The sequence below is a fragment of the Homo sapiens genome, chromosome 8 (genome assembly GCF_000001405.40).
Source record: "Homo sapiens chromosome 8, GRCh38.p14 Primary Assembly".
NCBI classification, from domain to species: domain Eukaryota; kingdom Metazoa; phylum Chordata; class Mammalia; order Primates; family Hominidae; genus Homo; species Homo sapiens.
Window position 1 is genome coordinate 134,821,325 of NC_000008.11, and position 16,558 is coordinate 134,837,882.

Genomic DNA, 16,558 nt, shown 5'->3' on the forward strand with positions numbered 1-16,558 from the left:
ATGTGGCTGCCAAAAAAATGCAATGCAAATTTCAGACTACATTAATAGAAACACAGTATCCTAGATAATAGCTTCACTGTATTCAGCAATGGTCAGACCACATCGGAAGTAGTCAGTTCAGTTCTGGCCACTGTATTTTCAGAGGTAAACTGACAAAAACTTTGTCATGAGTAGAGCGATATAGATGGGGAAAGGTCTGTAAACCATGTCACATGCATGCGGTTTAAAAAAAAAAAAAAGAATTTTTTCCCTCAGTTTGGCAAAAAAGAAGACTGAAGTAGAACAGTCATTTTCAAATACTTAAGAGTTATTGTGTACAAGAATAAGAAGTTTCACATACATAGTCCTAGATTTCCAAGAACGAGTAAGAGAGGAAATACATTTAGCTCAATGAAAAGCTGTTTCTATGAGAAACCTAAAACAAGGAAAAGTGGATGAAAACATGGTTAGAAATGCACTTGAGGAGATCAAATTGGGTGTGAGTCCTATAAATCTAACTCACTCCTCTGTGTAACCAAACATTTTTGAGGCATATGAAAAGGCCCAAACAGCATTTCTTTTCTAATTAAATAACAACAACAAGGAAAAACAAAGGTAAGAAGTAAAACAAGAAGTTGTTTGGTCTAATAAACATGGAAATGCATGCTGTTGAGGGAAATGAAATTTTAACAATAGATAACATTAAAGATAGATACAGCGTCTTGGGTTTTTATAGAGAAAACCGGTTTAATCAAAATTGTATTTATTCTAGAATTTATTTTTCCTAATATGACCTAACTCACCATTTTCAGGGGAAATGCAAAACCTATTTTAAAAGTTCCTACGATGGCTGTTGAGAAAAAAATTTGTTAATATTAAGAGTTAGTGTTCAAATTACAAGACAATATTAGTATACTGACCAATCGTATAAGCATTCAAATTTCCCATGGTAGACTATTACACAGCATGTCACTGGCATTGAAAAATGATCCCTTGCTAAGTCTTCCTTTATTTCCTGGCACTATTCAAAATCCAGCACTTTTCCAGTCTCCATTCCCAGCTTCCAAATTCCCATATGTTCTCTGCATACTCTGGACACCCTAGTAGGTCATAAGTAATAAAGATAAGTACCCGATTTAGCTTTATATCCCAGCCCCTCATCTTCAACTCACAGCTTGCATAAAAAACACTAAAATTTATTAAAATTTGAAAAATTTCTGATTTTCAAAACACATTTCCTTCCTATAATGAAAATTTTTTAAGTTACCCAAGTAACTTTGATTATATTTTAATTGTTATGAGAGCATAAGTGTGAGAAAGTAAAGGTGGGCTAGAAGGACAGATGGGGGATTATTACAAGAAATATACTTTTATAAAGAATACTTTATAAAATAACTTGGAAAAAACTCTTCTTCCCTTAAATTTTTCTTTGTGTACTACATGTGCATATTTTCACAGGATTTAATAGGACATGGTCCCTGACACAAATTACTAAAGCCCTACCTACTTCTCTCACTGCAGGTATGCATCTTACAAAGTAAGATTAAAAAGCGGCTTCATTGACTTAGGAAAATTAACTTGCACATGCCTTTTTGGAATATAAATTCAGATTTTTAAAAAATCTATTCCCCCAAGCCAAAAAAGGAAAATGTGGGGGAAAAAAAGGGGAACATCTGTTCTCTACTAAGGAATATGAAAGTTTAGGACTGACTTAAAGTACAGGTTAAGGCTTAAGAACTTGCCACTGGAATTCTGTACTATTTCTCTTCCTGCTCTGTTGTGGACACTACCAACACCTGGTCATGGGAACTCAATGATAAGCTCAGAAATCAGGAGAACTAGTTTCAAATCTCCCATGTCAATCCATCCAACGGGAACAGCCTACATTTCACTGGGAGACAGGACAATACCTCAGTAGAGATAGCAGTTTTGGAAAGTACTGAAACAGTTGCCAGTCTAAAACACAGTAACTAACTAAAAATCTTAAGTTTAAAAAAAATTAGATACTCAAGTATTAAAGCAATTATCTTTAAAAGATGAAAATGATGCACAATAAATATTGATTTAAGAAGCCACTTCAAATTAATTACAGTTAACATGTATTGAGTATTTTCTGTATGTCAGGCATTCTTTTAAGTGCTTATATACATTAATTCCTGGCTACTCTTCCCCACAGCCATATAAAGTAATATTATCATTGTGTTCATTTTACTGATGAGAAAAAGGAGGTATAGAATGGTTAAGTAACTTGCCTAAGACAACACAGCTACTGAGAGACAGGAGAGTGATAGGAATTCAGGCAGGATAGCTCCAGGTTTCATTCTACCTTTAGAGTTGGTATTGCTGTATTACATATCTTGACACTTGAAGGCCCCTTTAAGTCTATCAGCTTTAATCGCATATGAAATATTATCACAGGCAGCCAAGGCTGTATAGAATTATTAAAATGCTTTCACAATCAACTTTTAAGATCAGATCACTGAATCTAAGATATCACTTAAGCCATTAGAATCTAATATAATTTAAAAAAATATTTTGGATTTATTATACTTCATGATAAGTGCAAATGGGTGCCTTTTATATATTTAGCATAATGTCGGACACTGTCACTAAAACTCTTTTGCACAGAACTAGATCTGGGATATTTTATTCACATTAGTGTTTATTAAAGTAATTTTACTACTTCTCAAATTCTAAATGCAATAATTCAACAGACATTTGAATACTGAATAAACACCAAGTAGTATGAATACAAGATAAATTAGATGGTCTCTGCTCTCAAGGGAGGCCACGGTTACAAAACAATGTAATAACTGCTTTTATGGAAAGATGACCAAGGTTCCAAGGGAATTGAGTGCTGCCTAGCTCAAGTGAGAATGGTGGCAGTTCCATGTGCGAAGGCATGCAGATGTAAAAATAACATTTTCCTCTCAGGGAACATCAAACAATTTAAGTAGAATTAGAATGCAGGGTTTACATGGAAAGGAAAAAGTGATCAGAGATAAAGAATAAAGTTGGAGCTAGGGAAAGAAAAGTCTTATCAGTCGTAATAACAATAAAAAAATAGCAAGGATTTAAGCAGGCAAGTGATAAGAGCAAATATGGTAACAATAGAGGCTATCGTATTTTTAAACAACAGAACCTTGCTCAACTGAAATACTATGCAAACTTCCACGCTTAAAATTAATCAAAATAAAACAGCACTGGTTGAAACCGGGATGAAATGCTTGACTTCCTCCAGCACACTCTCAGCAAGAGTTTCAAAATCACTGCTTTAGAAAGTAAAATTATTATCTCTACACAAATATGTTCTACTTACTTCATGCCTCTCCTGACATGATTCTAAGTGCTCAAGTACAATAATTCATTCTAGTAGTTGTTCATCAATTACAGAAGTAGTCATATACAGAACTAATCATATAGCATGAGATCTTCAAAATTAATGACAAAAAATTATAATACAGAAAAAAGAAGATAAAAATTACCAGCTTTTTCACTCAAGTTAAAACTATCATTTAAATGAACACATTTTCTAACCTAAAAGTCAGAATTCATGGTTGGACAAATACTAGTGTATTTATGGACACAGAATATTCAAAACTGGTACAGTGCAGTGCTGTAAGGCATAGAATGTAACTGGCATAAGTGTAATTTTTTTTCCAAGATTGGTAAACTTGAATTTTCCTAACAATGACCTTCTGTCTAAAAGCCCTTCTCCATCTATAACTATGGTGTCTATTCTTCCACCTTATAAAATTTGGAAATCTAAATGTGATTACTAAAAATGATCATCATTGTGAAACTGTTTGTCTTCCTTATTGCCATCTAATATTCCCAGCAATAACATGTAAAACTGGTTAAAGAGGTACATATGCCTCTCTTACAATTCACTACTCCTGACTCTTCACAGTGAGAAGCGTGAATTAAAAATCAAGGTTATAATCCCAGGGAAAAGGCATACAATGATTAGCTCAACATGTTTTAGAACGAAACAATTACACTTACTTTATACAATCTAAACTAATCCCTATGATCTTTCTCTTTACCTTTACCCCCTTCCCTCCCAGTACTAACATTTGTGGGGAACACAATCACTCAGTCTTAAGAATTTTTAAAGAATCATCTGCTTTATAATTAACAGATTGAAAAGAAATGTTCAAAACAATGTTTAACACACAATAAGAGTTACACAAGGATCTCAGATAGTTATTTCTTTACTCCATCAGATAAAACATTAGAAAACAACAACCCTGGAGCACTCTATCAGCGCATTAGAAGTTCACTCACAGAATACGGCTGAAGACAAACTATTGACAATTACTAAAAGGAAAAAGGAGTGAGAGAAGCATACGCTACAAATTAAAGCTGTCAATACATCATTTGACCAATATGTGTAGTATATTTACTTACAGGCATACTTAAGAAATGGTCCTCAGGCTGGGCGCGGTGGCTCATGCCTGTAATCCCAGCACTTTGGGAGGACGAGGCGGGCGGATCACGAGGTCAGGAGATCAAGACTATCCTGGCTAACATGGCGAAACCCCTTCTCTACTAAAAATACAAAAAAATTAGCCGGGCGTGGTGGCGGGCGCCTGTAGTCCCAGCTACTCAGGAGGCTGAGGCAGGAGAATGGCGTGAACCCGAGAGGCGGAGCTTGCAGTGAGCCGAGATTGCGCCACTGCACTCCAGCCTGGGCGACAGAGCGAGACTCTGTCTCAAAAAAAAAAAAAAAGAAAAGAAATGGTCCTTAATCAGTAACAATATGTCATTACAAGCAAAAAACCATTTCCATATGATATTTACTCAATCGAACACTTGGCAATCAGTTCATTTCTGGGCACATTCCAGATTCCCTAAATTTGCAAAAAATAGCAAACGATTCAGCTATAAATTTGTTTGGGATAAAGACATCTCTGCACATTATAGTAAAAATAAATTACATCACCTGCTCCAACTAGTCATTTTACATAAACAGCTTAATAAATCACTCATTTCTACTTCTTTCAACTACAAAAGTCTGAGGACTACCATATAATCACGAAGAACAAAACAACTTTTTTCTTTTAGAGAAGCTTGTTTATAAATCAAAATTAAAACCTACTTAAAAGTAGTTCCACAGAAACATGTAAAAAATCCTCACATGTAAAATAAAAACAATCAAAACAATACCAGTATCACACATTTAACTATACATTCACTTTAATAGTAAAATTTCCACTCCATCTATTTAAGAGCATGTTTTTCAGGTCCTTTTGAAAAATATTCCACAGAGAAACAGATTTGTTTTTAAAAGACTGTACACCTTACTACATTGATTTTAACAATACAGCAAATAAATTTAACTTAGAACAAATGCCAACAGAGATATTAAATTATACATACTGTGCTTAGTTGTCCCCACAGGAATATAAAAATGTTCATAAACTTAAGATAAATTTATATTTCCCCTAGTTTGTGAAAATTGCAATAACCTTTCTATTTAGAGTAACCGATTAAACTACATTTGGCAACTGAAATTCAAACAAAATTCTCAGATGAAACAGCTGGGAGAAAATAAACGGAACAGTTTTTACAAATGAACTTTGTATTGACGCTATAGGTAAGATGATCCAACACCTAACAGTAGCATGAGTGGAATCAGGAAAACACAAACATGTAATAGTGAAAGAAAACCCTTTAGGGAGAAAAAGAAATTGCAATTTATAGGGTCACCCATGACTAAAACTCTGAACTCAGCCTTTCTTTTTTAGGGGTGTCCGGAGAGGGAGACAGGGTCTTGCTTTGTCATCCCAGACTGGAGTGTAGTGGCGTGATCTCGGCTCACTGCAGCCTCAACCTCCTGGGCTCAAGCGATCCTCCCACCTTAGCCCCACAAGTAGCTGGGACTACAGGCGTGTGCCACCACATCCAGCTAACTGTTTTGTTATTTTTGTAGAGACAGGGTTTCACCAGGCTGGTCTTGAATTCCTGAGCTCAGGCAATCTGCCCATCTCGGCCTCCCAAAGTGCTGGGATTACAAGCATGAGCCACCACGCCTGGCCTGAACTCAGCCTTTCTTATTTTTAAGAACTGTTGCCTACAGTTCTGCAGATCACAAAATCTAAACTTTTTAAAAATCCCATGTAGTGGACATACATATACATATTATTAGATAATATTTTATGCTTAAGAAATCTAGTAAATTGGCTGGGCACGGGCTAACACCTGTAATCCCAGCACTTTGGGGGGCCCAGGAGGGCGGATCACCTGAGGTCAGGAGTTTGAGACCAGCCTGGCCAACATGGTGAAATCCCGTCTCTACTGAAAATACAAAAATTAGACAGGCGTGGTGGTGGGTGCCTGTAATCTCAGCTACTTGGGAGGCTGAGGCAGGAGAATTGCTTGAACCCGGGAGGCGGAGGTTGCATTGAGCCAAAATCGCGCCACTGCACTCCAGCCTGGGTGACAGAGTGAGACTCTGTCTAAAAAAAAAAAAAAAAAAATTCTAGTTAATATTATTTTGAAACCCCAGTTTACATAAAGTATGGTGCACTAATGACTGCATTTTATTGAAAAGAACATTGGGAATAGAAAAATTAAGTGACATTTTAAAAGTGACATTGGCTTAAATAATGAAATTGAGAACATAAATCAGTCTTCACTTCCAATTATAATTTCTAATCATTACCACTAGCCTCACGTATCTTGGCACAAATATTTGTAAACTGCAGTAGTATACTCACCTTTTTTACATGTATTTTTTAAAAATTGTAATTGTGTCCTCATTAATCATAAATCCAATGTAATGTACTTTTTAATCTATGTTCTGAAATTAACAGTCATTTGAGACAGTCCCTTGGGATTTTTTAAAAAATGGAAAACACTTCTTTTAATATCATCTCTTCTTTAATCTTCATTTTTACTCATTTGTTCAATTGAGGAACTAAGAGCCTGTACTAAAAAAATCAATGGCACCATTCAAGCTGTTCCTTCCATTTTTATAATATTCAATTATGCTAAGAGGTATGAAACCGTGCCCAGTATCCCGAAGTTGGGCTTTTGACCCATATTCAGTATTAAAATAATTTCTTGCTTTCTAATGTATAAAAACAAAACAAAATACTATTAAGCATTCTGAAGATATTTTTTACTTCTTGTATGCCCTGATGCTTAGCTCTTATCCTTCAAACCCCTTCTCTAAGAATAAAATTTCTCGAAAACTAGGAAAAGGTGAAGGCGTCACTGTTACCCAAGCCAGGCATGAACAGTATAAATCAAATGAAACTTGATTAGTTATCCTTAATAAAGTTTGCAGCTACTTCCTCCCTTTCCTCCTTATCCCCACATGAAGTACGAACTAACCCACAAATAAGTTCTCCTATTAACTCACATTCCTTTTTTTTCTACATAAGCAAAGCAAAATGATTTCTGAATTAAACTTCCCAAGTACTTCATTCATCATCTCCTGCAATTCCAAATAAACGCAAATGCATTAACACAAAGGGAAAAAACTCCTTTGAAAGAATACATAGTTGTTCTTTTACCAAAATAGCATTTTTCACAAGTGACTCAAACAGAATTACAGCTTAGGAAAATCAAGCCTTTAATTCTGAAGAATAATTTGCACCTACAGAAAATTTCAAGGTAACGGTTTTTACTGCTTGTGGACTTTAGACCAAATCTACTTATTTTGATTTTGCTGAAGTTTGGGTATAACTGCTTGTTGGCCTCTGCTGGGGGACCACTGTCCTAGTGAGAGTGTCTGACAACAAGGTGCTTTTGATACTCCACTAACTAAACTACCTTGGATGAGGTTCCTGACAAACCTGATCATAAAGTTTTACTCAATGGTGAAAAGCATTTTAATTAGGCTTCAATGTACTCCTTAAATCAGGCTTGTCCAACCCATGGCCCAGGACAGCTTTGAATGAGGCCCAACACAAATGTGTAAACTTTCTAAAAATATGAAATTTTTGTTGCAATTTTTTAAGCTCATTAGTTATTGTTAATGCATTTGATGTGTGGCCCAAGACAATTCTTCTTCTTCCAACGTGGCCCGGGGAGGCCAAAAGATTGGACACCGCTGCCTTAAATGATATGGGATAAATCAGATGACAATTTTCCCACTCAGTTAAACCATTATAGGTGGCATATAAGTGGAACAACACTGAATTTAACTTTGTCCCCAAATACTTTTGGTAAAGAGAGAACTCAAAGAACACACTGATAACCCTTACATATGCCAAAAATCTGTTCCTAAATTGTTGTATGCCAACTGATTATTCACAAATCAAATCACATTAGATAAATACCATTTAAAGGGATTAAGTATTTGAAAACAACTTTTAGTGAATCCCTTTTTTAAAATTCTCACATAATATAACCAACTAGTAATTAATTTGTTTTGCAATCTTACACTTTTAAATGTCAAATTTCTTAAAGTAGAGCACAGCTGTTTTCATAAGCTGAAACATTCACATCACATTACTGCCCTTCTTTCTAGTGCCCCTCAAGCAAGCTCTAAAAATGTCACCCAAAAAATGAGTTGTTCACCTGTGGTAGAATATACAAGAAATACTAGAAAAATTGAAAAATAAGCAATTCTTAAAAATGTAATATAGAAATGTGTGTATAGTATTTCAAAAAAAGTCAAAGAATTATTTTATTTTTGGCCATGATCACAATAAACGCTCGATAAAAATGATTTTTTAAAAAACCAAGATACGCACAGCCCAAATCACTTTCCCATGTGTTTTTACCACCTGGAGTAAACCGTTCAAGAACTGTTTATCTCCATGAACATATGACCTCCACGATGCCACCAAGGTCAACAAGACCTACAGGAGGGGGACATGCTAAGTGTTGATTTGTCCAATTCTACAGTTCCCTTGAAAAAGAGAGAAGAGAGAAAAACATAAAAATTTATTTATATATTACAAGAAATAATCTTTTCAGGTTGTAACAATTAAGTACCCCACTACAGGACTGTATACAGACATATGTCAGCTATGGCCAATAGGAGCAAGATGTAAAAGAGACCTCACAGCACAAAAGTAGCTGCACAGAAAGAATTAACAAGATCCCAAACGGACTGATCTCTCTCTGCATCTGGTACTGAAAACTTTTGGTATCCCGGCTACATGCCACAAGGACTCAATTTCAAAGTGAGGGTCCTCTGTTGAGGAAACTTTTTGAAAATGACAAATAACCAAAGATACATAATCAACAGAAAAAGCACCCACATATCAGAAATGCTTAGGTAAGGAGCAAGTGAGTATATGCCGAGACTGCTGGTTAACACCAAATTCACAGGTTGTTCTCTTATTCTCTACCAAAAATTCTCTCTGGCATTTCCTCAGCTATCATCACAATCCTGCACCTTTCACAAACCAGGAAGTTTTCTTAGATGAGATTTAAATTTTAAAACACATCCACTTGGGATAATGTTTATGCTAGACTTAAGTTCAAAAAATCCCTATCAGCTTGAAACCATTATATCGGTAATTTCCAGGTAACATTCAAATATATATATTTTTAAAGACATGCCACAGCTAGTACCTGATTTAGTGATTTAGTGGAGAGTTTAACTATGGATAATTCATTCTAACGTTTGGTAAACAGGTAGCATACACATACATGATGACAGTGTAAAATTAAACAGGAAAAAAATCAGCAAAAGCACTGGTTATTCACAATCAGCACAGGACTGTCTCGTAAATTACTTTCAGAGAAGCTCCAAACTGGTGGGTGGCACCGGGTCAATGCGATTACTTAACCCTGGCAGTTACAACTAAACTCCACTTTGATGGTATCCAAAGCTTATTACAAAAAGATGACTGCTTGGGCATATCAAGTACTTCGGTGTCCTCCTATTTTGTTCCCACGGAACACGGAGCCTGACACCTGAAACTCTTCAGACACACATCACCTTGCTTCGGGGCTTTAGAATTTTGTGTATATTATTTGTAAAGTCCACTGGACATAAATTCAGTTGTGTGTGTACAGGATTAATGTATTTCCTGCATGCACAAGTGAAGAACTCATGTCAAATCAAGCAGTTCCCTCTCTCCCAAGTAACTTTTTTATCATTTAGTCCTAAAATAACCATAAGCAACAAACATTAAACACTGGCATAGCAACGTGCACACATCATGCCCTGGTGCTACACACAGGCGGATTCGTTCATCTCTGGTCCCCATCCAGACGGGTGCTCCCGGCCTCTCTCACTCCCGGCCGGTCCAGCCTGGCTTCACCCGAGTTTTGCTGTGAAATCCGCCACTTTCGCTGGCCCCGGCAAAAAGCAAGGCGCCTCGTCCCGAGGGCAGAGTTTCTTGCAACTGCCGGATAAACATTTCCCGAAAGCTTCCCGCGGCCCCCACGCCCGGTCCCCCCACTTCACGAGCCCCGGGGAGGGGCCCACCTGCCTCCCGCCGCCCGCCCCATACCCTGTCGCCGCGGCTGCACTCCAGGGCCGCACCGCAGCGCCCACTTCCCGGCCCCGAGCCCCCCACGACTCGGACGCCCGACCCTGAGGGACGGGGGCGCCAAAAAAGCACCCCCCGACACAAGTGACCCCACGACGCCCCCCAGAGGCCGTGTCCCGAGAGCCTGTCAGCGCCCCGGAAGGGGGTCAGGCGGGGGGCTGAGCGCCCGGTGTCCTCTCCGCTCCGGACGCCCTCTCCCGCCCCAAGGCACTCACCTGGCCCGGGGTCGGGGGTCGGGCGAGGAGGCCGCCGGCCCGCCGCGGCCCCCACCCTCCCGCTCCCAGCGCCCCGCGCCCCGAGCCCGAGGCGCGCCTGGAGCGGCCGGGGGAGAGGGCGCGGGGACGCGCCAGCGCCAGGGTGAGGGGCGCGCGAGGGGCGGGGGGCAGGGGGCGCGGCGAGAGCTGGGGATCGGCGGCGTCCGCACTGAGAAAGCAGCCTCCGCCGCGTCCGTCATGGCGCGCGGCGGCGGCAGCGGCTCCCTCCGGTCTCTCTGCTCCCTCGCCTTTAGTTTGACCTTTCCCTCCAGTGTGTCTGAGGGAGAGCGGCTGTGCGCGCGCGTGTACATGTCTCTGTGTGTGTGTGCGCGCGCGCGTGGGGAAGGGGCCGGGTTCGCTCCCCGACGCCTGACGTCACTGCCATGGCAACGGCAACCCCCGCCCCTCGCTTCCCATTTCCTGTCCCCGCCCACTGTGCACGTTCTGGGGCCCTCACGTGCTCACTCACACGCACGCACGCAGGCACGCACTCTCGGGGCGCGCGCGCCCAGAGCGCTGGGGTTTGGGAGGTAATTTGGACCTCCGCCTGCCTCCCTTCCCTCGCTGCCTCCCGGAATTTGACCAATCCCGTGAGGAGGAGCCGTGGGCGGGGCGGGCTCGGCTCCCGGAGTGGCGTGAAAAATTTCCCGAGGCAGAGCGAAAAGTCTTCATGCGTTACTGAGCATGTCCGGTGCCCGAAGGGGCGCTTTGGACGCCAGTGAAGCGAGGAGAGGCGGAGAAGGAACCGAGCGGGCAGTTGAGGGAAATCTCGGAGGAGGTTACCTGCGATCAAACTGGGGCTGCGTAGTGTTAGGGTCAGGCAGCTTTGAAGTGGAATCCGGATCCGCCACTCTCGCTGCGTGATATTGGGCATGCCATCAAAGCGCTCTCAACCGAACGTCTCGGGTAAAATGGGATTAGTGAAGTCTACCAAGGTAGTTGTGAGGATCAAAAGAGATAACGCGGAAAACGCCTCACCTGGCACGTTATAGATCCTAAATGCCTAGCTATTATTATGGAGCCCACAACCTCCATATTTTACAACTGGGAACACGGGACTCAAAGAGATTAAAAAACTAAATGACTCACTCAAGGTCAGGTAGTGGTGGAGACCCAGGCTTCAAGTTCAATACTCTTTGTCCTACAAAGCCTTCCCTTAAGCAGGGGTAATAAAACATTTCAGAAAAACCACCTTAAAGAGCATCGCTTGTGATCTGTGGATCACTTGGTAGTCCCCACCTCCCTCCCATCCCCGCAAAGGTTTAGAGCTGGACATAAGGGCCTTGGTGCAACTTTTGGAGGGCAGTTGTTCAGCTTCTGAATTTGCATCTGAACGAGCAATAAGGTGGGGTGCTTTCCTCAATTCCCTTGGGGCCCCTACATTTTGGTTAAGGTGTAAACAGCAAGGAGCTCCAGGTCCTCCACGTCTCTAACTAGCTGAAGAAAGATTAACTCAATTAACCAGCATTTACCCAGCATCCATCAAGTAGTAAGGTTTTCCCAGCAGGCAAGGAGCCTGTGACCTCAGGGCTGTGCAGGCAGGCACCTTGGGATTCAGACACACTTAGACTTCCAGCCCATTCCTCTAATTTAGCTCTTAATCACTTACTGCCAGGCAGTATTTCTTGAATGTTGTAGTACTATGTAATTTTAGCTATGCTGTTAACTTTTTAAAAAAGGATGTGTCTGTCTCCCTGTCTTGTAGCCCCAAACGTATACTTGATCTTGGTAAAGGATGTCACCCAGTATCTTAAATAAGCCCTGAAGTTTCCCATGTCCCAGGAATTATTCACTTGACCCTCCCAAGTTAAATGCAGTGTCTTCCAAAAAATCTTGGTGGTCTACTTCTTTGGAATACATTAGTATCTTTTCTACAGCATTTGGCAGCTACCTTGCTTTAAACACTGTTCTCTAGTTTTGTGTTCTACTATTTATGCATATTATCACCTACAAAAAGTTTCTCTAACATTCATGTATGAGTTGGCTGTTCATATGGATCAATATATCACTTATTACCCAATCCTTTAAGGCTTGATTTATTTTCCTTTCCCTTCAGATTGTAAAACTCTTGAATGGCAGGAACCCTGTCTAGTTCCACATCGAATTTCCAGCCTGTTCCTCAGTAACAGCACCACTCAACAACTAGCTATTGAATGGCTGAGTGAGCTCCCTGCCTATCTTATAAAATTATTAGGGGCATACTTTATTTTTATATTTATATCTCAATACCAGGAATTTTCTGGGAAGTTAAGAATTTCCAATAAATCTTGGACTACTCTAAAATGCACCAGAAATTACGTGGTCACACTCGTGCAGTGAAAGAAGGCTTTGGCAGTAGCATAAGACATTAAGCAGAAGTAGGAAATGCAGTGAGGAAGAAGTTGTAATGTTTTCAACAGCTGCCACTATGGATCTAGGATGAGAGCTTTCCACATGTTGTTAAGAATGAGAGACAGATTACTCCAAGGTAGGTAAGTGATGTTGCTCAAAGAGGAATTTTGAAATCAAACAGCGTTTGCTTACTTTGAACTTGTACTATTTGTCCCTTTGTCTAATTTGGCACAAAAATGGAAAGCCTGGTGGTATGCTTGCATCCAGTATTGTTCCCCTCTTGATATGCTGTTTAACTCTCTCCATGTGCAAGTCCTCACCATACCTAGTCCTTTCATCCCTCGTCATACTATGGCACGAGCAAATGCCCAGTAGCATGATCTTGAAGTTATTTGCAGTTTATCCTTATCTTTATTTGTCAGTCTTCAAGTCCCATAAAGTCTTCCTCTTAAATGGTAGTGAGAGCGATTAACTGTCTTCCACGCCCTTGGTCACTACCTTAGGGTAACCCCTTGTATCTCTCACCTGGACTCTTACCAAAACCTGCTTCCTAACTGGTCTTTTTGCTTCATCTTAGGCCCATCTATCCCAACTTCCAACACACCCCAGACTCTATAGACAGACTTAGAACTTACATTTTATGTTTTAAAATATAAATATTGAACATATAAGGATAAGATGTTTAAAATTGGCCATTGGGATCTGAAGGACCCATCTAAGGCTTTTTTTGGAGGCTAAACAATGAGAACATCTTTGAATTAGTGACATTGTGAATTAACAGAGAGCTAAGATGTCTCTTGGTATTTAATAGGCAATCCTCAAAAAGTTGGATTAAAAAAAATGCCACTGTGTGTGTGTGTTTAAGTACCTTATTACTAAGAGAGAAAGAACATTCAGTTCCCATTTTAGGGGCTCTCCTGCTCCAGGATTACTGAGGGTCCTCTGGAGTGTGCATGGGCTCAGGTGAGGTTATAAGCACATCCTTGACAGGAGGGTGCTTCTATCAGGGAAGGCCAATATCTTTCCGAGAACGTAAGCTTGTGGGAGGAGGTGGTAAACGAGGAAGCAGTGGGGACATGAAGTGAGAACGCAGTACTCAGCCAGACCAGCTCAATCAGTCCTGGTGATGAACAAGGTGAATCAGCTGCACTACCCTTACGGCCTGTTAGGACTGATGTATTCAAATTAGGCAGCTGCATGCACAGTATGCACTGCACAAACCCAGGGAAGCTATTTGCATGGGAGTCTGTGAATGGCATCCTCTGGGACTGTGCAGTGCTCAACCTCTATGAACATATGTAGCAGTCCTGAGTGACATGTACATGGCATGTCTCTGTCTACTTTGGCAATCTAAATTATCCTGATGATATCTTCGATAATAGAAATAAACATTTGTGGGATATCTACCAATTGTCATCTCAAAAACTTATTTTAATGTACAAATTTTATATCTAAAGATTTGCGCATGTTTCAAAATGCTTATTAGACTGATGTCATTACCATTCATTTATTCTAAAAAATGACAATTGAGCTGCTAAGTTTCAGGCATGATTCAAAAGCCTGGTTCTATAAATGTATTGAGCACCAACTACAAATCTTAGAAACACCATTAACTGATTTCTTTAAAATATCAGCTTATGTTTATGTTTTTTTCAGTTTATGCCATTTTATAATATGAAGATGTCCTCTATATCCTCTTTTTTAGAGATGGAATCTGGCTCTGTTGCCCAGGCTGGAGTGTAGTGGCACGATCTCGGCTCACTGCCACCTCCACCTCCAGGGTTCAAGCACTTCTCCTACCTCAGCCTCCTGAGTAGCTGGGATTACAGGTGCCTGCCACCATGTCTGGTTAATTTTGTATTTTTAGTAGAGATGGGGTTTCACCATGTTGGCCATGCTGGTCTCGAACTCTTGACCTCAAGTGATTTGCCTGCCTCAGCCTCCCAAAGTGCTGGTATTACAGGCATGACCCACCGTGCCTGGCCTCTAAATCCTCTTTATTTCATAGACAATCATCTATTAAAATCTGGAGATGAAATGTTCTTTCATTTCAGACAATTCAATATAGTAGGATGCCTCAGTGAATATAAAGCTTTTACATAATTTTTTTCCTCCTGGCGTTATCAGAAGAGGTAACAGAAAGTTAAGTTGGCTTTGTTAGGAGTCTCCTGGGAGCCCTAGGGAAAGCTACCTTAGTAGAGTGGGTGCAAGACCCCACTGGCCAGAAAAGAGTATAATTATGCTTTGAGCCCTGGATCATTCTGTAGAGGAAAGCTGCCCTCCAACCAGAAACATCTAATTTAGATGGTTATATGAGCGAGAAATAACTGAAAATTTGTTTGTTTGTTGTTGTTATAGCAGCAAGCTTTACTCAATGAATTAATTGGAAAAGTAAATAATATGACCATATTTGCACCCCAAATTTGTGGAGCTGCTCATACTAACAATTTTAAATTCTTTTTTTTCAATAGCTTTTAGGATACAAGTCATTTTTGGCTACATGGATGAGTTATATAGTGATGAATTCTGAGATTTCAGTGCTCCCATCACCCAAGTAGTGTACATTGTACCTAATGTGTAGTGTTTTTATCCCTGGCTCCCCACTCCCACCCTCTTGCTTCTGAGTCCATTATATATAAATGATATAAAGTGATATAAAGTCCATTATGTCACTCTGTATGCCTTTGCATATTCTAATAATGTTAAACTCTTAATTTCTGAACATGCAATTAAGTGAGCCTCTGCCTCTAGTAGTCTTTACAGTTGACCCTTGAACCACCCGGTTTGAACTTCGTTGAGCTGCTATACTTGGATTTTCTTCTGCCTCTGCCATTGCTGACAGTACAACCAACCTCTCCTCTTTCTCCTCTTCCTCATCCTACTCAACATGAAGATGATGAGGATGGAGAGCTTTATGATGATCCACTTCCACTTAATGAAGAGGAAATATATTTTCTCTTCCTTACGATTTTTTCATTAATGTTATTTTCTCTGGCTTACTTTATTATAAGAACACAGTATATAATACATATAACAAAATATGGGTTAATCGACTGTTTATGTTATCAGTAAGGCTTCTGGTTAACAGTAGGCTACTAATGGTTATGTTTTTGGGGATTCAAAAGTTATGCTTGGGAGTTTTGACTGCGCATACAGGGGTTGTTCCCCTAGTTCAAAGGTCAGCTGTATTACATGGCTTCCAGGTCTTTGATGGCTGTGCTATGCATGAGTGTCACTGCTGGAAAACTGTTATGTGCAGTTCCAGAAGCTGACATACTTAGTTAAAAAAAAAAAGGGTTGGGGGGGGCTACTCAGGAGGAATCAATACACACATACATATGTTGAATCACACAGACACTCACGTACTCACATACACACACACACACACACACGTACTCACACATGCTACACAATAGTAGGATGCAGAGTTCCATCATTTGAAACTCTGGAAAAACTTTCACCATTTTTACTATTATTACCAGCATCAACATCTTTCTCGCCATTGTAAGTCAAGACATTGGAAAAAGTCTG

At 40.1% G+C, this 16,558-nt stretch overlaps 1 protein-coding gene across 1 annotated transcript in view, besides 1 other annotated feature; it reads right to left on the reverse strand.

Annotated features, from left to right (window-relative positions):
* ZFAT (zinc finger and AT-hook domain containing) overlaps nucleotides 1–11,015 on the reverse strand; it is a 354,552-nt gene extending 343,537 nt beyond the window's left edge. The window contains exon 1 of the mRNA XM_047422062.1: nucleotides 10,658–11,015. The gene's annotated coding sequence lies outside the window, so the exon portion shown is untranslated. The remainder of the gene's footprint in view (nucleotides 1–10,657) is intronic.
* Nucleotides 10,355–10,844: a silencer, noted in NCBI's record as "silent region_19568". NCBI's record gives its function as "represses an Ori minimal core promoter by ATAC-STARR-seq in GM12878 lymphoblastoid cells {active_cell/tissue: GM12878}" and the evidence as "EXISTENCE:reporter gene assay evidence [ECO:0000049][PMID:35858748]".